Source organism: Homo sapiens, chromosome 10 (genome assembly GCF_000001405.40).
Source record: "Homo sapiens chromosome 10, GRCh38.p14 Primary Assembly".
Classification (NCBI taxonomy): Eukaryota; Metazoa; Chordata; class Mammalia; order Primates; family Hominidae; genus Homo; species Homo sapiens.
In genome coordinates this window covers 24,752,597-24,779,488 of record NC_000010.11, presented here as the reverse complement: position 1 = coordinate 24,779,488, position 26,892 = coordinate 24,752,597, and the positions used below count along the sequence as shown (strand labels likewise).

Sequence of the window (26,892 nt, the reverse complement as noted above, 5' to 3'; positions counted from 1 at the left end):
TCAGGCTGGAGTGCAGTGGTGCAATCATAGCTCACCGCAGCCTTGAGCTCCTGGGCTCAAGAGATCCTCCCACCTCAGTCTCCTGAGTAGTGGGGACTACAGATGCATGCCACCACATGCAGCTAATTTTTAAAATGATTTAATTTTTGTAAAGACAAAAATTACTTACAACATTGCCCAGGCTGATCTCGAACTCCTAGCCTCAAGCAATCCTCCCACCTTAGCCTCCTGCATCACTGGGATTATGTATTCATGAGCCACCACCTGGCCCTTAATTCTTGAAAACTAAAGCTCTAATCGTTTAACAATCAAAGAACACTCTTCTATTGACAAGTGTTTTGTAAAACTATATTCTAGAATATTCCAGGGTATTACAGTGTCTCAGGACCACTGTGGAGTCCAATCCCAGTTTAAGTAACTCTACTACTACTCTGTTTTTATATCTGTGGTGCTACATAAGATTTTATTTGGGTAGGGGGGAAGGAGTTTCTCCTGGCTTGAAAAAAATAAAAGGCCAGGTTCAGTGGTTCTACCTGTAATCCTAGCCCTTTGGGAGGCCAAGGAGAGTGAATTGCTTGAGCCCAGGAGTCCAAGGGCAACGTGGTGAGACCCCATATCTCTACAAAAAATACAAAACTTAGTTGGGCATGGTGGTGCACACCTGTAGTCCCAGCTACCTGGGAGTCTGAGGTGGGAAGACCACTTGAACCCGGGAAGTTGAGGCTGCAGTGAGCTCTGATTGTGCCACTGCACCCCAGCCTGGGTGACAGAGTGACACCCTGTCTCAAAAAATAAATAAATAAGAGATTGAAGTCTACTAACAAAGACCAGGCTTCCTAATAAAACTGGTTAGAAAACATCCTTGACTTGCTGAGTTCATAAGCAAATATATTGTCATCAATAAAGTTTTTTTTGTTGTTTGTTTGGTTGGTTTTTTTTTTTTTTGAGACAGAGTTTTGCTCTTGTTGTCCAGGTTGGAGTGCGATGGCGCGATCTCAACTCGCTGCAACCTTCGCCTCCTTGGTCAGGCTTGTCTTGACCTCCTGACCTCAGGTGATCCACCCGCCTCCGCCTCCCAAAGTGCTGGGATTACAGGCATGAACCACCTTGCCTGGCCAGACCAATAAAGTTTTGCCTGAAATTTATGTTAGGACCATTTCTCATGATGACTTATGTCCTTCTTTTCAACCTAAGCAATACGTTTTCTAGATCCTCATGTTCATGTATTGATTAGTAGTAAATTTGAAAATTATTTTTTTTTTGCTGTCAACAAATACCTTCCAGTGGTTGATATTAATAGTTCTGTAGACTCTCTTTGCATGTAATGGTCCTTGGCCTATAACTAGTTTTTCTTTTGTAAGTGTGTCAAACAGCTGTTCTCAGATATTCTAATTTGCTTTCTTCTAGGCATATGGTAGAACTGAACTTTGTTCTACTGAAATTGCTCATTGCCATGTGATTTGCTTTGGCGAATGAAATGAAACTGAAGGTGATGTGTGGACTCTTCTTGGGGGAGGCATTTCATTGCCAGTGACAGGTACCTTACTGCTCCCTTCCATGTCCCATGTTGATTAAGAAAATAACAGAGCAAAGCATTCTTGCAAACCCATGCTAAACATGTAGCATAATGAAAAATAAGCCTTTGCTGTCTTAAGCACCTGAGATTTGGGATGTATTTGTAATTAAAACATAAGCTAGTCCACGCTAATATGTGGTTTATCATACATTTATTTTCCTGTACATTAAGCTATATTTCTTCTTTGTTTTAATTTGTATCTTTGTTTCTATAGTGATAAATGTTGATTATTCTTCTTACAGCTCCATACTATTTATTGGGCTGTAATAATTCTCTCTTCTGATTTTCCAGTGGGTTTTCTTTTTCTGTGAAAGAGTCACATTGCAAGAATCTTTCTTGAATGACTATCAATAGTGGGATACTTGGAAGAAATACTTTTTTCATTATATTTGGCAAAGAAAAAATATACTTCTTTTTAGAGGATCTCCACCCTTCAGCTGCAACTCATTACTGTCTACCTAAATGCGCTAAACTAGCCAGAAAGCAAATGTTTCCCATTACAAATGACATTTATCAGCTAGTCTCAGGAATCAGTTTCCTTCAAAATTGATCTAGTTTGGAAGTCACAGTTATGACTCACTACTGGATCTTTCAGTGCTTTCAAAGTATAAAAGTACAATGGGCGATATGATTAACATTGACCCATTGCATCTTTTGTACGTATATATCAACCATAACATTTATTTCTCCAAGAAGACATATTTTTGGCTACCAGTATCAGAATGCCTTCCTTAATATGTCTGGTAGTCTTTCATTTGCATTAATGCTTTATATTTTGAAGTTTTTCATATAATGTATTCATTATTATATTTTTAGAATCTATTATTTGAGTTTGCACTGTTGCCCATACACCAAATTATATTGTTAAGAAAATGTTTAAGTAAATGCCATCCAGACTTGAAACCTGATTGAAGTATAAGAAGTCCCCAACTTCCATATGGGTTATGTTCTTAAGATTCATAGTCTGCATTTTGGAGCATGGGTGACATTTCCCAGAAATAATAATTCTGAGATTCATCATTAGTTCCCATCCCAGCCATCCAAAGCCGAGATAACCGCTAAAGTAATTGACATACTTCTTTTGTGTGGTCATCTTAGAAGTCTAATCACCATTTATAGTAATGTTTGAGAAAAACAATCCGTTGGCATTAACAAAAGGCATACATTGATTTGGAGAAAATGTTTGTACCCCTAACCTATCGTAGGAGAAGGGAAGAAATGTAAAGCACTAGGAACACATTGTATTTATTTATTTTTTTAGAGATGAAGTCTCACCATATTGCCCAGGCTGGTTTCAAACTCTTGGACTTAAGCAATCCTCCCACCTCGCCTCCCAAAGTGCCAGGAACACACTTATGTCTCTTACAGCCATGGAAACAATGAACTGCTAACATGTGTTTTTAGAAAGAATGTGGAAGTATGGGAACCTCTTCCTTTATGTGGTAATTGAGGTGAGTATCTTAGAACATCTGGTATGGCTTAGGATGGATGGTAAGGTAAAAAGATCTTTATAAATCAGACATTTCTCATTTCAAACTCAATTTCACACAGTGGCTTAAATGATACTTGAAACAGATCCATGTAGAAGCAACATAATGCAAAATTAACTCAAATGGGGTCTCACCTTCTCATTCTGACTTTCTAGTTGTAAAGTATTGATCATAATCTAATAGGACTATAGTCTAACAATAATTTTTAATGAGATGATGCAGCTTCAAAACTTACATTCCAACCAGTCTATCCCTACAGTGCTATGTGAAGAAGGATTGAAATGACTTTGAAACTCCAAAATTTGTCAATGTAGAACAAACAGTATCTGTTTATGTAGTCATAAATTATAGGTGCCCTGGTGTCCTGCCATCTTGACTCAAAGATGAAGTCGTTCAGTATTGAATCAGTAGGAACTTAGACTTTAGGTATTGTTGGCTCCAGTTTGAAAGCTATAAAATGGTGGCCTGCGGACAAGAGAAGGAACTAAAGAGGAAAATACATAACTCATTGAGGAATTTACCCAATTCTGCCTTTGACCATTATGATACAGTGCTATAAACTCAAGAAAAAGGGTTTTTTTTTCCCCTGCTAAGAACATTTTTTTCAAAGGAAATAGAGAATGAGATCAAAACAGTGCTTGAACTTTTGAAATCTTTTAGACACAGCTATGATTCAGGCATTCAATAACACTGACAGCAAAATCCTTCCCACCACGTCTTGAAGAGTGAAACTAGAGTCAACCGTGAGGTTAAATGGTCTTGAGAAGATTATCTTATTATTGTAAAACTGCCTAGAAGATGAATGGAATTTTCTCTAAGTCACTAGTATTAACCTGTTTGCTAAGTTGAATAGAGAATGCCAGGCAGTTTGAAAAATCTGGGAAAAGTTGAAGCAAAAATAAAAAGTAGGAGGTCTTGGCTGTAATTTTGAGCCAGGAGGTCTTGGCTGTAATGTCTCTTCTGTGCTCTACTAATTGCCTGGTCATTTTGACAACTGAGAGTTAATTTACCCTTCTGCAATGATATCTTCTTGGATTACTTGCTCTCTAGCTCTCTTCCAACTTTGATATGTTCATGTTTCAGTGACCTATTACTGTCAGATATAGGCATTTCTAGGTACTAAAAGGTGGACAGTCATTTATATTATGTCAGTGGTAAGTAGCAGTGGTAGCAGCAGGCTACCATTCATTGAATATTTATTACAGGCAAGATTCCATGCTGAGTCCTTTATATGGATTATCTCATTTAATCTTTGAAGTATCAGAGATTTGATATAATTTGCCCAAGTCCTCCCAGCTATAAAATGCCAGATGTAAAAAAGAGTAGGCTGGGCGCGGTGGCTCATGCCTGTAATCCCAGCACTTTGGGAGGCCAAGGCGGGTGGATCACGAGGTCTGGGCGCAGTGGCTCTTGCCTGTAATCCTAGCACTTTGGAAGGCCAAGGCAGGTGGATCACGAGGTCAGGAGATGGAGACCATCCTGGCCAACATGGCAAAACCCCATCTCTACTAAAAATACAAAAATTAGCCAGACGCGGTGCCAGGCACCTGTAATCCCAGCTGTTTGGGAGACTGAGGCAGAAGAATTGCTTGAATCTGGGAGATGGGGGTTGCAGTGAGCTGAGTTCACACCATTGCTCTCCAGCCTGGATGACAAGAGCAAGACTCTGTCTCAAAAAAAAGAGTAGTGGATATTGATCTTCTAGTCACTTGCTCAAAAGTTAACTGCCATAACAGCTTTGAATGAACACATAAATCTAATATATCCATTCTTTCTGAAAATCAGATGTCTTGTGTGTGTTGGCAACAGATTTTTGTTTAGGTGACATATGGATCTATTCATAGGTATTATGTGCACCACCTCGTGATTCACTGTTCGATAAATTTAAATTTTCATTAGCTAACTTAAAAACTTAATTCCTCTGTCAGTAGCCACAACTCAATGCTCAGTAGCCACATGTGGCTAGTGGTTACCATATTGGGTAGTGCAGATATAGAAAATTTCCAGCAACACAGAAATTTCTACTGGACAGTGTGGCTCTAGTGACTTCATTCTAATTCTCTCTTCCCTGCTCCTCCCAATGTCTCAGTTTTGTCTTAAGGTCAGCTTCATTCACAGTAGCAACAATAGCTGTAGAAGTAAAAACCTTCCCATCCCATCTAGAGGAAGAATTTTCTTTTGGGGTTGTTAGAAGTGTGAGGGAACTTTTTTCCCAGAAGTTTCATTATAATATTGTTATGCCTCATTGTTGCAAATGTGATTATATCCATATCTGAGTAATCCTTATGGCTAGAGAGATAGGATGTTCTGATTGGTTTAAGCCAATCAGGTTCACCCCTGGGGCAATTTCACTGTAATGACTACAATTTCATGGCTGCTATCCGTTGGGTTAGCAAAAAGATTCCTCCAAAACAAGTTGGAGTGCTTTAAACAGAAGAATGGAAGATAAATTTTGGTGAGCTCCATAAAGATATCCACCATACCTTTCATTTTTGCCATTTTTCTAAATCAATGTCAAAGGATGTGTTAAAATGCTGTGCTGAATGTCTCAGGACTCAGGCAAGAATGTAGCCTGAATTGTTTCCATAGTCCCAACAGCAAATTTTCCACTCCATACAATGGCCCTCCAAACTAACTGTTCTGTTTCAATATGGCCCAAGTCCTTAAAATAGTTTTAATGTAGACTATATTAAAAGATATGTATCTAAAAATTAGCTGGGCATGGTGATGGGTGCCTGTGATCCTAGCTACTCAGTAGGCTGAGGCAGGAGAGTCGCTTGAAGCTGGGAGGTGAAGGTTGCAGTGAGCCCAGGTCATGCCACTGCACTCCAGTCTGGGCAACAGAGTGAGACTCTGTCTCAAAAAAAAAAAAAAAAAAAAAAAAAGAAAGAAAAAAAAAGAAAGAAAGAAAAAGGAAGAAAGAGAAAAGGAAACATATGTATTTTTGGGTAAGTATCATAGGAATTATTGAATGCACCATAATAATGGATGTTCAAGTTCAAGAGTTTTGCGGAGACCCAAGGAAGAGACACAGTGAATGGGCAACCTCCCAGCTATGCTTGTGCATAAACTTGGGTAACTAAATTAACCTTCACTAGTTAGGGTTTTGTGCCACATTTCTCCCTCTGATACCTACAATGTAAGTCAATACAATAGCCACCATACATACCCCAGGTCTCTGGGTCTAAATTAATGTTTTCTAAAGCTCGTTGGCACTCTAGACTAGAGAATCTTTCTTAAGGTGAAGGATATTGTTATCCATTTTCCCCTAAATGGGAAGGAAATGGTGTCATTAGTCAATAAATACATTTCTTTCAAGTCTTTGCTTTCAGTTTTAATACATATGAAAACTGTGACTTCTTTTTCTTGTTGTTGTTTTGTTTTGCCGAGACAGAGTCTCTCTCCGTCACGCAGGCTAGAGTGCAGTGGCGCGATCTCGGCTCACTGCAACCTCCGCTTCCCGGTTTCAAGCGATTTTCATGCCTCAGCCTCCCGAGTAGCTGGAACTACAGGTGCATGCCACCACGTCCGGCTAATTTTTTTATATTATTAGTAGAGACGGGGTTTCACCACCAGACTGGTCTCAAACTCGTGACCTCAAGTGACCCACCTGCCTCATCCTCCCAAAGTGCTGGGATTACAGGCGTGAGCCACCGTGCCTGGCCTTATTTTGTTTTTAAAAGTTATATAAATGTATACCACAAGAGGAATTTTCCAACCTGGTCCTTCCTTAAATATAAATATACAAAAGAAGAATCCACACTAGTCTGTTTACAATGTAGAACAAAAAAAAAAATTGAAAAAGTCATGGTGATGAGTCCAGAATGTCCAAGCCAGTTTTAAGTCAGCTGGCCTTTGAGTTGCTAAGTGTGTTTATTTTTTCCATTCTCCTCTGAAACCATAGTTGCTACAAAATCCCAGAAACAGAACTGCAGTGAATCTACAGAACTACTTTATTCCATCAAACCCCAGTCAGCAAACTGTGATTAAATGGGTGTGAAGAATAAAACAGCCCAAGATTCCTAAAATGTCACATATTTGCAATTTGACCAAAATGGAACTGAGCCTGTAGGCTTGTCTCATTACTTTTTGGCAAGGGAAAAGGGAATATCCATGGAAATGCTCTTAAAATTGTCCTTGTTTTCTTTTGAAAAAAAAAGGCATCTATTTATAAAATAAATTTTTATTTTTATTAATTATTATTATTATTTTTTAGAGACAGAGTCTCCCTCTGTCACCCAGACTGGAATGCAATGATGCAATCATAGCTCACTGCAGCCTTGAACTTCAAGGAATCCTTTCACCTCAGCCTCCTGAGTAGCTAGGCCTATAGGAGCAAACCCCCATGCCTGGCTACACTAGTTTTTATTTTTTGTAGGGACAGAGTCTTGCTATGTTGCCCAAGCTGATCTCAAACTCCTGGCGTCAAGCAAATCCTCCTGCCTTGACCCTCCAAAGCACTGCAATTACAGGTGTGAGCCACCATGCCTGGCCCCTATAAAAATAAATTTTAAACCTAGAAAAAGGTGTTAATATACGCACAGAACAGAGGCTCTCAAAGAAGAATCAACCTACTCAAAACTTCGGTGTTTGCTGGATGTGGTGGCTTATGCCTATAGTCCCAGCACTTTGGGAGGCCAAGGTGGGAGGAGGACCACTTGAGCCCGGGAGTGCAAGACCAGCCTGGACAACATAGTGAGACCCAGCTGTATTTTTTAAAAAATTAAAATATATTTTAAAAAAAAACTTTGGTATTAGAATTATGCTTGGGGCAGTAGTGAGACAACTAAGCTTACATTTTAGAACATGTATTTGCCTTTATTGACTGCATTATAAAGAGATCTCTTGCCCTTAAAGTGGCTACCCTCTTTTCGAGGTCTACACACTAGCTCTTTCAGGACAATAATTGCAACTCTTCTCTGAACTAAATGAACTTGCGAGCTTCTCTAGACTAATAGAAAGTATTTCAATGACACTTGCTTATGATGGGGTCAGTTCTTCCTACGTAGAAATGCCCATTACAGAAATAAGCAGACTCAATATTCTTCTCACAGATGCTAACAATGGATTCCGTGGGTAGAACCGTTATCTTCTTGTTTGTTTGTCTGTTTATTTGTTCTAGTTTTTGAAAATGACAATAGCACACATGATTGTCCCATATTAGTTCCTTATTTAAGGCAGAAACTAAGTCCATCAGCTTAACTATCTCCAATGTCTTTCTTTTTTCTTAAGGTTAAAAAAAAAAGGAAATCAGAAAGTCAGAATTCTCTGCACCCCTCATTGCACACTTTTGCCTTTCAGGATGCATATTTGACAGTCTTGGAACAAAAGACATGCTGTTCCAGGCCTTATAGTACTATATAGTGCACTCATAAAATGTTACTCACCTTTAAATAGTCTTGTATGACTTTCAGATAATAACAGTAAATCACTAATTAGATGAAGAAAGAAAATACATATATGTCTTAATCAAGTTTAAACCTAAACAAATATAGAGCATGTTTAATTTACTTAAAGAATTGGCGAGGAAAAGTTGATGTACTTGTTAGTTGTATCTGCTGCTCTAATAGAAAGAGAAAGCTCCTAAAAATATTTATTAACCTATATTATTTTAACCACCACCACCCTCTAATGATGATCAGATTCAGAGTCTTTTCTCTTTCGAAGTCACTGACAAGAGCCGGCAGCATCCAAAATGAGTGTTTCCACAGGTTTCCTAGCAAAACAGACAAGAATGACATGAGTGAAAACAGAATATAGGCCTGAGAACAAATCTATTTTTCTGAAGAATGTTACAAAGAACAGGATGTAGTGTGATGTTAGGGGACATTGTCAGGAATGTCATTGGAGTGGAGACCTAGTTCTGGCACTCTAGATGCCAACCTTTTCACTTTCAGAGCGCTGTCTTTTCCTTTCCTTTACGCTCTCTAGAGTCTGCTCCCAACTCTGGAAAACTTTACTAATCCATATCCTTTGTTGGTATCCTTCTGCCTCCTAAAGCTTATGCCCCCAAATCTGTCTCTTTGGGATTCTCCACTGTGTTGTCTACCTCTCTCTCTCTCTCTCTCTCTGTCTCTCTCTCTCTTTCTCTCTCTCTCACTAACCTCATCAGTATCCTAGAACTAAATGTCCCCTTTAGGGGCATGATTCTCACATCAGTGTCTCTAAACCACTACTCAGTTCTGAGATCCAGAACTACATTTCCAATTGCCTGATCAATAGATTCACCTACAAAGCGCATAGGTAAACGACACTCAAGATTGATAGCTACCTCCTCAAAGCAGCTCTTCCTGTTAGGTTCCTATTTCTGTGAATGGCACCATTTTCCTCCTAATTCTCTGCTCCCAAAATGTCAGTCAGGTATGTCACTGATTTCTCTATTTCTTCTCATCTCCGATTTCTGTTGTACTGGTTTTCCCTCTACAGAATCTTTTGTATCCATTTCCATCCCGTTTTTAGGTCACTGCCATGGTTCAGTTTCACCTTGCCTCCTGTCTAAACTATTACAGTATATATTAAATCATCACATGTACACTTTAAATATATATAATTTTTATTTGTCAATTATACCTTAATAAAGCTGGAAGACAAAATAAAATAAACAATTAAAGTAGCCTACTAACTGCTGTCCTTATGCCTGGTCTCTTCTAATTTATTCACCATATGCTGCCAGAAAAAATCTTCCTAAGGCATAACTCTACATATATCATCCCCCAAAACAAATACTTCTATTTATTTTTATTTATTTATGTATTTATTTATGTAATTTTTTTGAGACAGGGTCTCCCTTGGTTGCCCAGGATGCTGGGCTGTAGTAACACTATCACGACTCACTGCATCCTCAACCTCCCAGGCTCAAGTGATTCTCCCATCTCAGCCTCCCGAGTAGCTGGGACTATAGGTGTATGCCAGCACGTCCAAGTCGGGGGACTATAGGTGTATGCCCAGCCAATAAACACATTTGAAGACTCCCATTTGCACATAAAATTAAATTCATACTTCTGCTTATCCTAGTTTCATTTTGTTTATTTACTTATTTATTTTTTTGAGATGGAGTCTTGCTCTGTCGCTCAGGCTAGAACGCAATGGTATGATCTCAGCTCACTGCAACCTTCACCTCCTGGGTTCAAGCAATTCTCCTGCCTCAGCCTCCCAAGTAGCTGGGATTACAGGTGCCCATGACCACACCCAGCTAATGTTTTTTGTAGTTTTAGTAGGGTCATGTTGGTCAGGCTGGTCTCAAACTCCCGACCTCAGGCGATCCACCCACCTCAGCCTCCCAAAGTGCTGAGATTACAGGTGTTAGCCACTGCGCCCAGCCTCATTTATTAATTAATTCAATGAATATTTATTTTTAAATGCCATAAACACAACAAAAAGTGAAAACGAGTGATTTCTGCCCTCACTGAATTTTCAGTCTCTTGTGGAAGATAAACATTACAGATATAGGCTTAAAAAAAGTTAATTCGAATTGTGAGCACTTTATGAAAGAAAAATAAAACTTATCTTGAAAGATTTAACCTGGTCTGAGAAGACTCTCTTATCGCAGTTATATATACATATACATAATATATGTGTAGCGACTTCGGTTTTCTGAAATCTTCTGCTCAAAACTGACCTTTAATTCAAATTGAACTTCTCAGCCCTTGATTAGGCCTCCTTCTGTGCTTTGTTCATGCTGCAGCTTTTCTTTATAACATATCCTATATATCCTTCAAATCCCACCTCTTCCTTGCAGCTCTTTTAGTAATTTCTTCTATATACTGTGAGTTCTTGCTCCTTAATCCCCCAATCACTTTATATTTACCTCTCTTCAGATGTGTGTATGTGAATGATCCAATAATCTTGTTAAAACCGTACTATTTGGAGGATACAAGGTCAATATACAAAAATCAATTGTATTTCTAGAAGTAATTAGAAAATTAATGTTATAAAATCCACTTAAAATAGCATTTAAAAACAAAACAAAACAAAACCAGAGACTTCTGTTTCCAGCCCAGATAGAGAAATAGAAGTTGATTTACTCTAACACATGAAGCAACCAAACAACAACAAGACAGATGAAATATATGAAATAATAGCTTTGAAGGCACTGAGTAGAGGCAATGAAGGACAGTGATCCCTGAGAAACAGTCAGTGAACAAGTCGAGTGCTACAAATGCTCGTTTTACCACTATGAGAAAGTTTAAGAGTTTCTAGGCTGCAACATACAGAGAAACCAGGCAAAACCCAGTGAACTCCTCTAATTGAGGAGATGAAATTGAGAGTCCACAAAGACAGTGGAAGCTAGAGTGTTGAGGACAGAGTAATGGAGAGGAGACTATTTCATAAAAAAAGAAATCCAGGCTCCACACAGTGGCTCATGCCTGTTAATCCGAGCACTTTGGGAGGTCGAGGCAGGAGGATTGCTTGAGTAGGAGTTTGAGGTCAGCCTGGACAACATGGTGAGGCCACTTCTCTAGAAAAAATACAAAAATTAGTTGAGTGTGGTGGTGCACGTCTGTAGTCCCAGCTACTTGGGAGTCTGAGGTGGGAGGATTGTTCGAGCCTAGAAGGTCAAGCCTGCAGTGAACTACAATTGTGCCACTGCACTCCAGCCTGGGTGAAAGAGTGAGACCCTGAGAAAGAAAAGAAAAGAAACGAAGAGAAAAGGAAAGAAAAGAAACCAAGAGAAGAGAAGAGAAAACAAAAGAAGGAAGGAAGGAAGGAAGAAAATAAAAGTAAGAAGGAAGGAAGGAAGGAAGAAAGAAAATAAAAAAAAGAAAGGAAAAGAGAAGGGAGGGAGGGAAGGGAGGGAGGGAAGGAAGGAAGGATCCAGGTATCTGCAGAAGGTCCCCCTTAAGTGTGCGGCAGAACATTGAGCAGTGGATGCATATGAGGAAACTACTTGATACTGGGAAAAGCACCATTCAAAAGGATTAAAGAAACAGCACCCATTCCACACAGAGGGCCACGAATAGTGCCTGCTCCCACTGGACAGACTGGAAAAATACTGTAATTCCCTGGGCATGGGGTTGAGTATACAGAAGGCTCTTGCCTCAGTATTGTGGGCAATTAGCCTTAGGCTGAGCACTGTGCTGGTCCTACCTAACAAAACTCAAAGCAAGACCCAAATGAATCAAACTGCTTCCAAGTAATGTAACTGCACCCCAGAACAAAGCTCAAGAATATTTACAGGAATATAAAATATCCAGCACCTAACAAAGTAAAGTTTACTATGTCTGGCATCCAGGTAAAAGTTATCAGAAATAAAACAAGCAGAAAATAGGACCCCTAATGAGGAGAAATATTTGAGTCAGTTCAAACTGACTCAAAACTGACATAGAGATTAGAACTAATAGACAAGAACTTTAAAACATGTTATTATAACTGCATTGCATATCTTCAGAAATTTACATAGAGACATGGAAGATGTTTTTAGAAGACCCAAATTGAACTTTTGGACATAAAAAGTAGAATGCATGAGATGAAAAATCTCTAGATGGGGTTAATGACAGATTAATCATTGAAGGAGTAAATATTAATAAACTGGAAGATAGACCAATAGAAACTATTGTAGTGAAAGACAAGAGAAAAAAGAATTTTTTAATGAAAAGAGCATCAGTGAATTGTGGGATAACTTCAAGTGACCTAATGTATTTGTAATTAGAATCTGCAAAGGAGATGAGAGAGGACAGAAAAATATTTAATGGCCCTAAATTTTCCACATATGACAAAAGTTGTAAACCCGCAGATCCACCAAGCTAAGTGAACCCTCAAACACAAAACACAAGTCTGTGCACCAAATTACAGATCTTTTAATTACATGAGGCAAAAAACTAATAGATTTGCAAGGAGGAATAAAGAAATGAGAAAATATAGTCAGAAAACATTAGAGAGAAGTATTCCCCATGAACATAAATTCTAAACAAAATTTTATCAAAATTAAATCCAACAGCATATTAAGAGCATCATGGCCAAGTGAGGTTTATTCTAGAAATGCAAGGTTGGTTTATCATTCAAAAATCAATAAATGTAATTCACCATATTAATAAACCAAAAAAAGAAAAATTATGTAATCATCTCAATGGACACAGCAGATGCATTTGACAAAACACAACATCCATTCCTGATGAAAATTCTCAACAAAAATTCTACAGATAACATCATACTTAATGTTGAAACACAGAATAATTTCCCTCTAAAATTGGCCTGGCCAACATGGTGAAACCCCATGATATGGTTTGGCTTTATCCCCACCCAAATCTCAACTTGAATTGCATCTCCCAGAATTCGTGTGTGTTTTGGGAGGGACCCAGGAGGAGGTAATTGATTCATGGGGGCCAGTCTTTCCCATGCTATTCTTATGATAGTGAATAAGTCTCACAAGATCTGATGAGTTTATCAGGGGTTTCCACTTTTGCTTCTTCCTCATTTTCTCTTGTCACCACCATGTAAGAAGTGCCTTTCGCTTCCCGCCATGATTCTGAGGCCTCCCTGGCCATGTGGAAGTGTAAGTCCAATTAAACCTCTTTTTCTTCCCAGTCTCAAGTATGTCTGTATCAGCAGCATGAAAACAGACTAATACAGTAAATTGGTACCGGTAGAGTGGGGCATTGCTGAAAAGAAACCCAAAAATATGGAAGCAACTTTGGAACTGAGTGTCAGGCAGAGGTTGGAACAGTTAGAGGGCTCAGAAGAAGAGATGAAAATGTGGGAAAGTTTGGAACCTCCTAGAGACTTGTTGAATGGCTTTGACAAAAATGCTGATAGCGATATAAGCAATATGGTCCAGGCTGAGGTGGTCTCAGATGGAGATAAGGAACTTGTTGGGAACTGGAGCAAATGTGACTCTCGTTATGTTTTAGCAAAAAGACTGCAGCATTTTGCCTCTGCCCTAGAGATTTGTGGAACTTTGAACTTGAGAGAGATGATTTAGGGTATCTGGCATAAGAAATTTCTAAACATCAAAGCATTCAAAAGGTGACTTGGATGCTGTTAAAAGCATTCTGTTTTAAAAGGGAAACACAGCATAAAAGTTCAGAAAATTTTCAGCCTGATGATGCAGTAGAAAAGAAAAACCCATTTTCTGAGGAGAAATTTAAGCCAGCTGCAGAAATTTGCATAAGTAGTAAGGAGCCTAATATTAATCCCCAAGACCACGGGGAAAGTGTCTCCAGGTCATGTCAGAGACTTTCATGACAGCCCCTCCCATCACAGGCCTGGAGGCCCAGGAGGAAAAAGTGGTTTTGTGGGCCAGGCCCAGGGTCCCCATGCTGTGTGCAGCCTAGGGACTTGGGGCCCTGTGTCCCAGCTGCTCCAGCCATGACTGAAAGGGGTCAATGTACAGCTTGGGCTGTGGCTTTAGAGGTTGGAAGTCCCAAGCCTTGGCAGCTTCCATGTGGTGTTGAGCCTGTGCATGCACAGAAGTCAAGAATTGAGGTTTGGGAACCTCTGCCTAGATTTCAGAAGATATATGGAAACCCCTGATGCCCAGGCAGAAGTTTGCTGCAGGGGTGGGGCCTTCATGAAGAACCTCTGCTAGGGAAGTGTAGAAGCGAAATATCAGGTCAGAGGCCCCACGCAGACTCCCTACTGGGACATTGCCTACTGGAGCTGTGAGAAGAGGGCCACTGTCCTCCAGACCCCAGAATGGTAAATTGGTACCATTTACCATTGTCCACTGACAGCTTGCACCATGCACCTGGAAAAGCCACAGACACTCAATGCCAGCCCATGAAAGCAGCCAGGAGGGAGGCTGTACCCTACAAAGCCACAGGGGCAGGGCTGCCCAAGACCATGGGAACCCACCTCTTACATCAGCGTGACCTGGAGTCAAAGGAGATCATTTTTTGGAGCTTTAAAATTTGACTTCCCCACTGGATTTTGGACTTGCATGGGGCCTGTAACCCTTTTGTTTTGGCCAATTTCTCCCACTTGGAGCAGCTGTATTTACCCAATACCTGTACCCCCATTGTATCTAGGAAGTAACTAGCTTGCTTTTGATTTTACAGACTCATAGGCAGAAAGGACTTGCCTTGTCTCAGATGAGACTTTGGACTGTGGACTTTGGGTTAATGCTGAAATAAGACTTTGGGGGACTGTTGGGAAGGCATGGTTGGTTTTGAAATGTGAGGACATGAGATTTGGAGGGGCCGGGGTGGGATGAGATGGTTTGGCTGTGTCCCCACCCAAATCTCAACTTGAATTTATCTCCCAGAGTTCCCCTGTGTTATGGGAGGGACCCAGGGGAAGGTAATTGAATCATGGGGGCCAGTCTTTCCCATGCTATTCTCATGATAGTGAATAAGTCTCACGAGATCTGATGGGTTTATCAGGGGTTTCCGCTTTTGCTTCTTCCTCATTTCCTCCTGCCACTACCATGTAAGAAGTGCCTTTCACCTCCTGCCATGATTGTGAAGCCTCATTGGCCATGTGGAAGTGTAAGTCCAATTAAACCTCTTTTTCTTCCCAGTCTAGGGTATGTCTTTATCAGCAGTATGAAAACAGACTAATACACCCCATCTCTACAAAAAATACAAAAATTAGCCAGATGTGATGGTGCATGCCTGTAGTCCCAGCTACTCAGGAGGCTGAGGTGGGAGGATCACTTGAGCCCAGGAGGCGGAGGTTGCAGTAAACTGAGATCATGACACTGCACTCCAGCCTGGGTGACAGGCTGTCTCAAAAAAAAAAAAAAAAAAAACCCTGTCTCAAAAAAAAAAAGAAAAGAAAGAAAAAAAGAAAGAAAAGAAAAGAAACGTTAGATAAATATTAGCCTTGTCAGGTGATAGATCATGATTAATAGTTTATACAGCTTGTTTGTAAGCTATAAACAAGTATTTAATTGTGTAAAAGTAATCTTCAAATTTTTACTCTGTAAAATATCAAATACACATAATCTATTCAGACTTAGAATGTAGGTGTTTATAAAAATCATATATAGTTCTGAGCCTTTACTTCATCCAACAGATAAAAGTTTTAAGAAATATAAGAATTGCTGAGCTATGTACAAAGACTCTGAGAAAACAGAACACAAATGCTCCTGAACTAGCACTTGGATGAGATCAAATGGACTTCGAGACTGAAATGAAATTCCACAATACCAAAGACAGAGAATGATGAAGAAAGGGAAGAACAAATGAAAATTACAGGAATAATTAAACACCCTAGGACTGATCTAATAGAAGTAATGAATGTGATAACTAACAAGCAATGATCCATGTGGAGGAATATAACTCATGAAATATGCCTTACAACTGTGAGCCCTGCAATGACCCTGGGTCCTGTTCTCATACCATGCATACCTCTCATTCCACGGGACACAAATTTGCCTTTCACATTAGAATGAAGACTATTTCCTATATGCTCAGCCTTTTCAGTGGCCATCAGCAAGGCACAGGGACAGGTCACTTGTATTTTCCAAAACCTTCCTTTCTTCCTAGACAACAATATATTATTCTCTGAAAGCTTGTTCATTGGCCTCATTAAATGCTGTATTTGAGAACAAGATTTTCACATATGTTTAGAATAAAATATACAAGATTTTCACGTGTGTTTAGAAACAAGATCTGTAAATATAATTGATTATGAATAATTATTAAGATCTGCTGAAATGGGGGGTGTCACGAGGATGACGGCCACATTTTTACGGTTTGCTGTATGTTAGAGTCACTTGCCTGCTCTTTTTCTCTGTTGAGCAAGAAGCTCCATGAGGGCAGAGGCTTGTTTTACTTACCTGCGTCCCTTCTGCAGAGCCTTCAGCATGACGGGACTTTCACAATTATTAACCTTAATGCCTCAATTAGAGGCATTTGTGTCTCTCTGGTGCAAATGCCTCTAATCAATCAATCACTTTCATTACTCTCTCTGGTGTGTTTTGAAGATGGATTTTTAAAAAGATTCACTCATGCATCTCTTAACTGATTTCTTTCTTCTTTCCCGGGGAGTTCAACAGCTAAACAGATAAACTGTTTCCGTTTGTGGTTTGAGTCCTGTTTTCTCTATGATTTCCTCCAAAAGAAAGAGCAATAAGTAAAACAGGGCAAACATGAGCTGTGTCAACATAGCAAAACACCTGCAGAACAACAACTCCAAGCTGACAAAGACTTATGCAACTGTTTAATGGTTTGTCCTGGATCCAACAGTAAGATTTTCCTGACAGTAACTCTCTCCCTGCCAAAGAGGCCATAACCCTTGAATCTGGTAGAGAAATTGGAGAGTATAATACTGTACTGTTGCTTCTGGCAGTGACAGAGTGAAATATGTGGTTGGAGTTTTTTTTTTTTAAAAAAGATATATGTAGATTAGCACACAAGGCAGAAAACAATAAAGATAACAACCAAAACATCTAAAATATATAGGCTTTTGACTAGGCGCGGTGGCTCATGCCTGTAATCCCAGCACTTTGGGAGGCCAAGGCGGGTGGATTGTTTGAGGACAGGAGTTAGACACTACCGTGGTGAAACCCCATCTCTACTAAAAATGCAAAAATTAGCCGGGTGTGATGGCATGTGCCTGTAATCCCAGCTTCTTGGGAGGCTGAGGCTTGAGAATCACTTGAACTCGGGAGGCAGAGGTTGCAGTGAGCTGAGATCGCACCATTGCACTCCAGCCTGGGCGACAGAGCAAGACTTTGTCTCAAAAAATAAAATAAAATAAAATAAAACAAAATATCTAGGATTTCACATTTGCAAAGCAGTTTTACATACATTATGTTAGTCCCTTCACCCCTATGCACATATATATAACAAACCTTAGGGTGTCTGTAATTTTCTTCATTGTACAGATAAGGAAAAGGGTTCCGAGCAATGGAAATATTTACTCAGGGTCATAAAATAATATTTCTCTTTGATATTTTCAACTCTTATGCATTAATCAACTAATTCAATTTATGAAATATATACGATTATTGACTTTTAGTAGAGCCATTCCTGAGCTTTGACACAATGTTTAAAACTCATTAAAGTGACTTCTGGTTTAAACGTATATAAAGTGTCTCCCAATTGTCCACTAAAATAGCTATGAAACTACAGAAAAAAAGAAGAAAAATTAACACAAGGAAAATTAAGACATATACAACTTATCAGAATCTGGGGTGAGTCTTTATTAACTGAAAATTAGATTTGGCAAACATTAATGGGAAATTTTGAACACTTATTCTGTGCCAAGTACCTTGCTAGGTACTAGGAATACACAGTGGACAAATACCATCATGCTATTGGCCTTTACAGAGCTTACGGTCTAACTTGACTGAGAAAATCACTCAGACATTGCTTCACAGTATACCTAACTCGCCTGAAAAGATGTAGGAGCACTTTTTTTTATCAGCCCTGTTATTCTTGCATTCAGAGATTCTGCAGCAATTGGAATATTGGGCAGAGAGTATATTGCTCATAGATCCCAAATTATGTGGCAGCCACAGCACTGATTCACTGATTATTCTTCTTCTTCTTTTTTTTTTTTTCTGCCAGCACCTGATCTTGGATGCCTGGCTAACTGTTTTTAGAGATGAGGTCTTGCTATGCTGCCCAGGCTGGTCCTGAACTGCTGGCCTCAAGTGATCCTCCCTCCTCAGCCTCCCAAGGTATTGGGATTAAAGGTGTGAGCCACTGTGCCCAGCCTGATTCTTTCTTCTTATTCTTCACCTCACTCTCCCATCCCCCCATATCTTTCTATATTGTTACATTAACTAGGACAGTAGATGTAAAATCCTTAGCATAATCTTTGAGTCAGAATATGTTCCTATTAATGTTAGCCAATTTCATTATCAGTTTTTACAATTCAGAGGTAACAACCAAAGACTGATTGGGCAGAAAGTAGTGCTCTGGAAGGCTGGTGGTAGTATATTGCAGGTATAGACTCCATGCATAAAGTTTCAAAGGCAGAGGGTCAAAACTGGAAGAATCCCAATAGGGGTGCTGTATCAGTCAGGGTTCCTCAGAGAAACAGAACCAATAGTGTATTAGTCCATTCCCACACGGCTATAAAGAACTACATGAGACTGGGTAATTTATGAAGAAAAGAGGTTTAATTGACTCATAGTTCTACAGGCTGTACAGGAGGCATGGCTGGGGAGGCCTCAGGAAACTTACAATCATGGCAGAAGGCAAAGGGGAAACCGGCACATCTTACATGGCCAGAGCAGGAGGAAGAGAGAGAGTGAAGGGGGAAGTGCTAGACACTTTCAAACAACCAGATCTCGTAAGAACTCCATCATGAGACAGCACTGGAGGATGATGCTAAACCATTAGAAACCATCCCCATGATCCAATCACCTCCCGCCAGGCCCCTCCACCAACACTGGGAATTACAATTTGACATGAGATTTGAGTGGGGACACAGAGCCAAACCACATCAAATAGGATGTGTACAAAAAAAGATTTATTATAAGGAATTGGCTTATGCAATTATGGAGGCTGACAAGTCCCAAAGTTGGCCGTCAGCAAGCTGGAGACCCAGGAGAGCCAATGGTGTATGGAGTTCCAGTCCCAAAGCCAAACAGGCTTAAGACACAGGAAGAGTACATGTTTCAATTCAAGTCCGAAGGCAGGGAAAAAAACAATGTCACAGCTTGAATGCAGTCAAGCAGAAGGAGTTTTCTATTACCCAGCCTTTTTGTTCTATTCAGGCCTTCAACAGATTGGATAATGGCCACTCACATTGGAGAGGGCAGTCTGATTTATTCAGTTTACCAATTCAAATGTTAATCTCATCCAGAAATACCTTTACAGACATACATGAAATAATGTCTGACCAAATATCTGGATACATTATGGCCCAGTCAAGTTGACACATAAAATTAACCATATAGAGGCTGGGTGCGGTGATTCACGCCTGTAATCCCAGCACTTTGGGAGGCTGAGGTGGGCAGATTGCCTGAGTTCAGGAGTTTGAGACCAGCCTGGGCAACAAGGTGAAACCCCGTCTCTACTAAAATACAAACGATTAGCTGGGTGTGGTGGCGTGTACCTGTTATCCCAGCTTCTCGGGAGGCTGGGGCAGGAGAATTGCTGGAACCCAGGAGGCAGAGGTTGCAGTGAACCAAGATCACACCACTGCACTCCAGCCTGGGCAATAGGAGCAAAACTCTGTCTCAAAAAAAAAAAAAAAATTAACCATATACATACCTAATGGGGATATTTTTTTTTCTTTTGTAGAGACATAGTCTCACTATGTTGCCCAAGCTTGTCTTTAATTCCTGGGCTCAGGTGATCCTCCGGCCCCAGCCTTCCAAAATGCTAGGATCACAGGCGTGAGCCACTGCACCTGGCCAGGATATTAATATTCAAGCACTTGATAGTTTCAAAGTGCAAGGAGTGAGGTAAGACTATCATGAATAGGACCAGAATAATCGAAAATATCCTAAAAACTGGCAACTGGACTAGCAGCAGTTTATCTTCCTCTCAAACAGTAGATCCAAGAAAGGAGTTCAATCTCCCCACGAGTGTGCAGTGAGGAATGCCAGGACTGTCCCCTCTATCTGTTGACAAAAAAAAAGCATGGCTAGATGATCTCAACTTATGTAAGAATGAGTGACAGAGAAAAAAATTGCCTATAAAAATGTAGTGCAAAACTAGATTAAAAGAATAATCGCCACTAGGCACGGTGGCTCACGCCTGTAATCTCAGCCCTTTTGGGAGGCTAAGGCAGGCAGATCACTTCAGGCCAGGAGTTTGAGACCAGCCTGGCCAACATGGCGAAACCCCATTTCTAATAAAAATACAAAAATTATCTGGGCGTGGTGGCATGCACCTGTAATGCCAGCTACTCGGGAGGCTGAGGCATGAGACTCGCTTGAACCCGGGAGGCAGAGGTGGCAGTGAGCCGAGATTGAGCCACTGCACTCCAGCCTGTGAGACAGACAGACTGTCTCAAAAAAAAAAAAAGAAAAGAAGGAAAGAAGGAAAGAAGGGAAAGGAAGGGAAAGGAAGGGAAAGAAAGAAAGGAAGAAAGGAAGAAAGAAAGAGAAAGAAAGAAAGAAAAAGAAAGAAAGAAAGAAAAGAAAGAGAAAGAAAGAAAAAGAAAGAAGAAAGAAAGAAAGAAAGAAAAAGAAAGAAGAAAAGAAAGAAAGAAAGAGAAAGAAAGAAAGAAAAAGTATCTTCCCAAAGTTCTGAAGAATGTTTTTAAAAATCTCTTGGACATTCTCAATAGAATGCAGGAAGATGCTGTCTCCATGAATTAGAGCAGAAAAATAAAAGAGGAAAGAAAGAGAAAAAGATGACAGGATGGGATTAAAAAATAAAGCAAAGGATGACTTGAAAAGCAAAGTGGCGGAAATAAGAACTTCAAAAAAGTAAAAACAAATAGCAGAGTTGAAATAAAATTGGCTTTCACTTATGAAGAGAACATGATGACTTTTTGGAATATGCAAGGGTTACAAAAACATACCTTTCACAATATCATCAAAGTGGTCTATCTAAAATACTGAGGGAAAAAAGGGGTTGGGCACTGATCATTGGAGAACGTGGACATTAATGGAGGAAGCAGAGGAAGATGGATCCATGTTGGAGAATTAAAAGCAATAGCCACAGAGGCAGGAGGAAAACCAGAAGACAGTAGTGTCATGAAAAACCAGGAGACAGAGTCAAGAAAGGAGTCATCAACTGTGTCCAATGGTGCAGAAACTTAAGTAAGACAAGCATTAGAAAGTGTCCACCGGACTTGGGAATTAAAAGATCTTTAGTCTCAGCTGGGCGCGGTGGCTCACATCTGTAATCCCAGCACTTTGGGAAGCCCAGGTGGGAGGATCACTTGAGCCTAGGAGTGCCAGACCAGGCTGGGCAACACAGAGAGACCTCGTCTCTACAAAAAAAATAAAATAAAATAAAATAAAAACAAGCCAGGTGCAGTGGCTCATGCCTGTAATCCTAGCAATTTGGGAGGCCAAGGCGGGTGGATTGCTTGAGGACAGGAGTTAGACACTACCATGGACAACATGGTGAAACCCCATCTCTACTAAAAATACAAAAATTAGCCAGGCTTAGTGGTCCGTTTTTGTAATCCTGGCTATTTGGGAGGCTGAGGCGCAAGAAGCACTTGAGCCCGAGAGGTGGAGGTTGCAGTGAGCCAAGATCATGCCACTGCACTCCAGCATGGGTGACAGAGTGAGACCATGTCTCAAATACACACACACACACACACACACACACACACACAAGATCTTTAGTTTCAAAAATAGAATAAAATTTAAAAAAGATGTTTAGTCTTTTTAGCAAAAGCAGTCTTAGTGAAATTGTAGGGGAAAGAATTAAGAGAAGGTAAGGCATAGGCTATTGTTTTAAAAAACTTGGTTGGGTGTGGTGGCTCACACCTGTAATCCCAGCACTTTGGGAGGCTGAGGTGGGTGGATCACTTGAAGTCAGGAGTTCGAGACCAGCCTGGCCAACATGATGAAACACTGTCTCTACTGAAAATACAAAATCAGCCGGGTGTGGTGGCAGGCACCTCTCATCCTAGATACTTGGGAGGCTGAGGCAGGAGAATTGCTTGAACCCAGGAGGCAAAGGTTGCAGTGAGTTGAGATCGTGTCACTCCATTCCAGCCTGGGCAACAGGGTGAGACTCTGTCTCAAAATAAATAAATAAATAAATAACTCGACATGAAAAAGTGAACGATGGGATGACTACTCTAGAGTAAATAGTTGAAGGAGATTTTGTCTTATTTTGTTTTGAAATAGATGACTTGATATTTACTTCATACATCAATTAGCTATGCATGTAACAAACTTCCTCAAAACTTACTGACTTAATTCAAAAGGCACTTATTTAGCTTACAAGTCTGCAGGGCTCCTGGGTGATTTTGATCCTAACCATGCTCAGCACATCTTGGCTGGGCTAGCTCATGCATCCACCATCAGCTGCTCGATAGGCTGAGGATTGGGAGGTCTAGGATGGTTTCAGTTGGGAAACTCATCTCTGCTCCATGTGGTCCCTTATCCTACAGCAGGCAAGCCTGGACTTGCCATATAGTGGTTGCAGCATTCCAAGGAAGAGAATTGAAGCACATAAGGCTTCATGAGGCCTAGACTGAGAACTAGCACACTGTCACTCACCTGCATTCTATTGGAAGAACATATCACACAAGGTCAGTCCAGATTCAATAGATGAGAAAACCAGCACCACCTCTTGATGGTGACAACTGCAAAATCACATTGCAAAGGATGAAAATAGAGGAAAGAGTGGAGAACTGGGACCATTTTTATAGTCAGTAGTCATCAGTCCATACCCTGTATCATAGCCAGCAGGAAAGGCAGGGACTGAACCTACAGCAGAGTGAGTTTCTTTTTTTTTTTTTTTGAGACTGTTGCCCAGGCTAGAGTGCAATGGTGTGATTTCTGCTCACTGCAACCTCCAGCCTCCCGGACTCAAGAAATTCTCCTATCTCAGCCTCCTGAGTAGCTGGATTACAGGTGCCCACCTCCATGCCTGGCTAATTTTTTTACTTTTAGTAGAGATGGAGTTTCACCATGTTGGCCAGGCTGGTTTCAAACTCCTGACCTCAAATGATCCACACACCTCGGCCTCCCAAAGTGCTGGGATTACAGGCATGAGCCACTGTGCCCTGCCCAGAGTAAGTTTCTTGATCAGCCATTCTGGTTGCTCCTGTTCTGTGATCTGCAAGGATCTTTACTCATCCATGGATCTCAATGGGTTGAGAGCAGTGTTAGAGAGCCTTCCCTTTCTAACAAGACAAACCAGGACTCAAATGCAATTATGAATTTTCACATTTTGTGAAATAATTCAATGTCCTGCCATATCGGTTCTGTAACTTCATAATTTTATAAAAATTAGTTTATTGAAACACAAGTTTCTTCCTATTCTCCATGATCTTATAGATACTATAAATCATTTTCTGTAGAATATATTCTTCTAGTTATACTCTATTGATTTCTTTAGTGAAGTTAAGGAGCCTTATTTTTTTAATATATATTAAAATAATAATAAAAATTGAGACAGGGTCTCCCTATGTTGCTTAGACTCGTCTTGAACTCCTAGACTCAAGCAATCCTTATGCCTTGGCCTCCCAAAGTGCTGATATTACAGGTATGAGCCACCACTCCTGGCAAAAACTTTATTTTTTAAAGTGTTGTTCATTCCTTGAAACAGAATTGTTTATCTAGCAAAGAAGCAATTTTCAAATGGTTTTATTCCCTAGAACCTACTGCCATTAATCTACCGTTACTTTTAGTTTATTTTGATGCAGTGTAATATTTGTATTAATGTATGTCTATTTTAAAATATTATTTGTTTTAAAGACTACAACAAGTTCATTGAAAAATGTCAGCCTTGGCTGAGTGCAGTGGCTCATGCCTGTAATCCCAGCCCTTTGGGAGGCTGAGGTGGGCAGATCGCTTGAGACCAGGAGTTCAAGACCAGCCTGACCAACATGGTGAAACATTATCTGTACTAAAAATATAAAAATTAGCCAGCCATGGTGCCACACACCTGTAGTCCCAACTACTCGGGAGGCTGAGGCACAAGAATTGCTTGAACTTGGAAGTTGGAGGTGGCAGGGAGCCGAGATCATGCCACTGCACTCCAGTCTGGGCAACAGAGTGAGACTCTGTCTCAAAAGAAAAAAGAAAGAAAGAAAAATGTCAGCCTTAATGAATTAGGACTTTTACAAGATTTTATATATATAAAAATAATGCTATACTTTCATTTAACATTTCAGTTTATGCTTAAAAGTAATGGTTATGATAAAGAGACACCTAAAAGGACTAAAAGATGTTCTATACCATATGAGTGTCACCCACCACTCTAAATAGCTTACAAAAACAAATATAAGAGCATTTGCCAAAAATTAAGATCACATAAATTCCTTCCCAAACAAATATAACTTATTAAACTATGTTTACAGTTCATTTGATACATAATTGTGGTCATACCTTAAAGGTATGATAGTATGTGACATTTTATACTGAATAAGTGAATATATATATATATATTTATATATATTCTGTATCTATATACTAGCACTTGTGAATATAAATTCAAATAATCTCAAAGACCTGATAGCCCAAGGATAATGCAAGTATTAAATGCATGGTGGCCAGGTATGGTGGCTCACACCTGTAATCCCCTCACTTTGGGAGGCTGAGGCAGGACGACTGCTTGAGCCCAGGAGTTCGAGACCAGCCTGGGAAGTAAGGCAAAACATGGTGTCTACAAAAAATACAAAAATTAGGTGGGCATGGTGGTACACGCTTGTAGTCCCAGCTACTAGGGAGGCTGAGGTGGAGGATCGCTTGAGCCTGGGAGATCAAGGCTGCAGTGAGCTATGATTGCACCACTGCACCCCAGCCTGGGCCACAGAATGAGACCCTGTATCAAAAACAACAACAACAACAAAAACAGAGTGTGACAAACCCTCCTCACCCTCTCTCTCGCAGAATCATGAGCCAATTAAACCTCTTTTCTTATAAATTACTCAGTCTCAGATATTTATTTATAGCAATGTAAGAACAGCCTAATACACGTGGGTTCAGTGTTCTGCAATAACAGCCAAGATTTTTGTTTTCCCTATTATTAATTTGGTCTAATAACTTCTTGTTAAGAGATACAAAGAAAACACAGCATCTTAGATAAATACAAAATTTGGCACCATCATTTATTTCTTTTTTTAAATATATATATATTTTTAATTGAGACAGGGTCTCACTCTCGCCCAGGCTGCAGTGTAGTGAAGCGATCTCAGCTCACTGCAACCTCCACCCCCGAGGCTCAAGTGATCTTCCCACTTCAGCCTCCCAGGTGGCTGGAACTACAGGTGCATTCCACCACATCCAGCTAATTTTTGTATTTTGTGTAAAGACAGGGTCTTGCCATGTTGCCTAGGCTGATCTCAAACTCTTTTGAGCTCAAGCAATCCACCCGCCTCAGCCTTCCAAAGTGCTGGGATTACAGGAGTGAGCCACTGCACCCAGCCAACCAACGCTTATTTCTATATTCAGGTAGATCCTAACATCCATATCTCAATATTTTCTCTTTTTTTTTAACAGGACTAGGCCAGGCACAGTGGCTCACACCTGTAATCCCAGCACTTTGGGAGGCTGAGAAAGGCAGATCACTTGAGGTCATGAGTTCGAGACCAGCCTGGCCAACGTGGTGAAACCCAGTCTCAACTAAAAATACAAAAAATTAGCTGGGCTTGGTGGCGCATGCCTGTAATCCCAGCTACTTGGGAGGCTGAGGCAGGAGAATCACTTGAGCCTGGGTGGTGGAGGTTGCAATGAGCTGAGATCGCGTCACTGCACTTCAGCCTGGACAACAGAATGAGACCCTGTCTCAAAACAACAACAACTACTACTATTGTTTTTATACTGTACAATGTTAAAATTTTTCAAATGATAGAAAAAGTTTTAAAATAAGTCTTTGGTCTATCACCTAGTACTTAGTCCTACAATCTTCAGAGTTTGTTTATCATTTCCAGCCAATAAATGCCTTTCCATAAATGTTTTTGAATATATAAATTATACATATTCACACATGTATAATCTATGTTTTCATACAATTCTATATCTACTACTACCTTGCATATCAGTGCACATATCTAACTTATTTTAACAACCACATATTTAATTTCAGATGTTCCATAATTAATTTACCAATCCATATTTACAGCCATTAAGCCAAATGTTCATTACCTATGGGGATAGCTTTGTGCATGTAATCAAACTCATTTTAGAATTCTGCATTCTATTTGTTGTAAAACAAATATGAAAAAACATGAAGATGCTTCTCACATAATTTGTAGATAGCTTTTAAGGGTTAGAACATGGTTGGGAAGTGGTTTGAAATTATTATGTTACCACTGACTTGACTGTCTCTTCCTTGCCACTTGGAA

The 26,892-nt window shown here is 40.1% G+C and overlaps 1 long non-coding RNA gene across 1 annotated transcript, besides 2 other annotated features; it reads left to right on the top strand.

The window, feature by feature from the left end:
• The first annotated feature begins 1,314 nt into the window (after positions 1-1,314).
• Positions 1,315-26,500, top strand: LOC105376456 (uncharacterized). Its single transcript, XR_930757.3, has 3 exons — positions 1,315-1,537; positions 2,838-3,027; positions 26,048-26,500. It is a non-coding gene; the product is annotated as an uncharacterized LOC105376456 (long non-coding RNA).
• Positions 16,100-16,652: an enhancer, noted in NCBI's record as "OCT4-NANOG hESC enhancer chr10:25051766-25052318 (GRCh37/hg19 assembly coordinates)". NCBI's record gives its function as "activates a minimal SCP1, AML or CMV promoter by ChIP-STARR-seq in primed H9 embryonic stem cells {active_cell/tissue: H9 hESC(primed)}" and the evidence as "EXISTENCE:reporter gene assay evidence [ECO:0000049][PMID:30033119]".
• Positions 16,942-17,142: a silencer, noted in NCBI's record as "peak910 fragment used in MPRA reporter construct". NCBI's record gives its function as "represses an SCP1 promoter by STARR-seq MPRAs in K562 erythroleukemia cells {active_cell/tissue: K562}" and the evidence as "EXISTENCE:reporter gene assay evidence [ECO:0000049][PMID:32103011]".
• Positions 26,501-26,892: the final 392 nt, after the last annotated feature.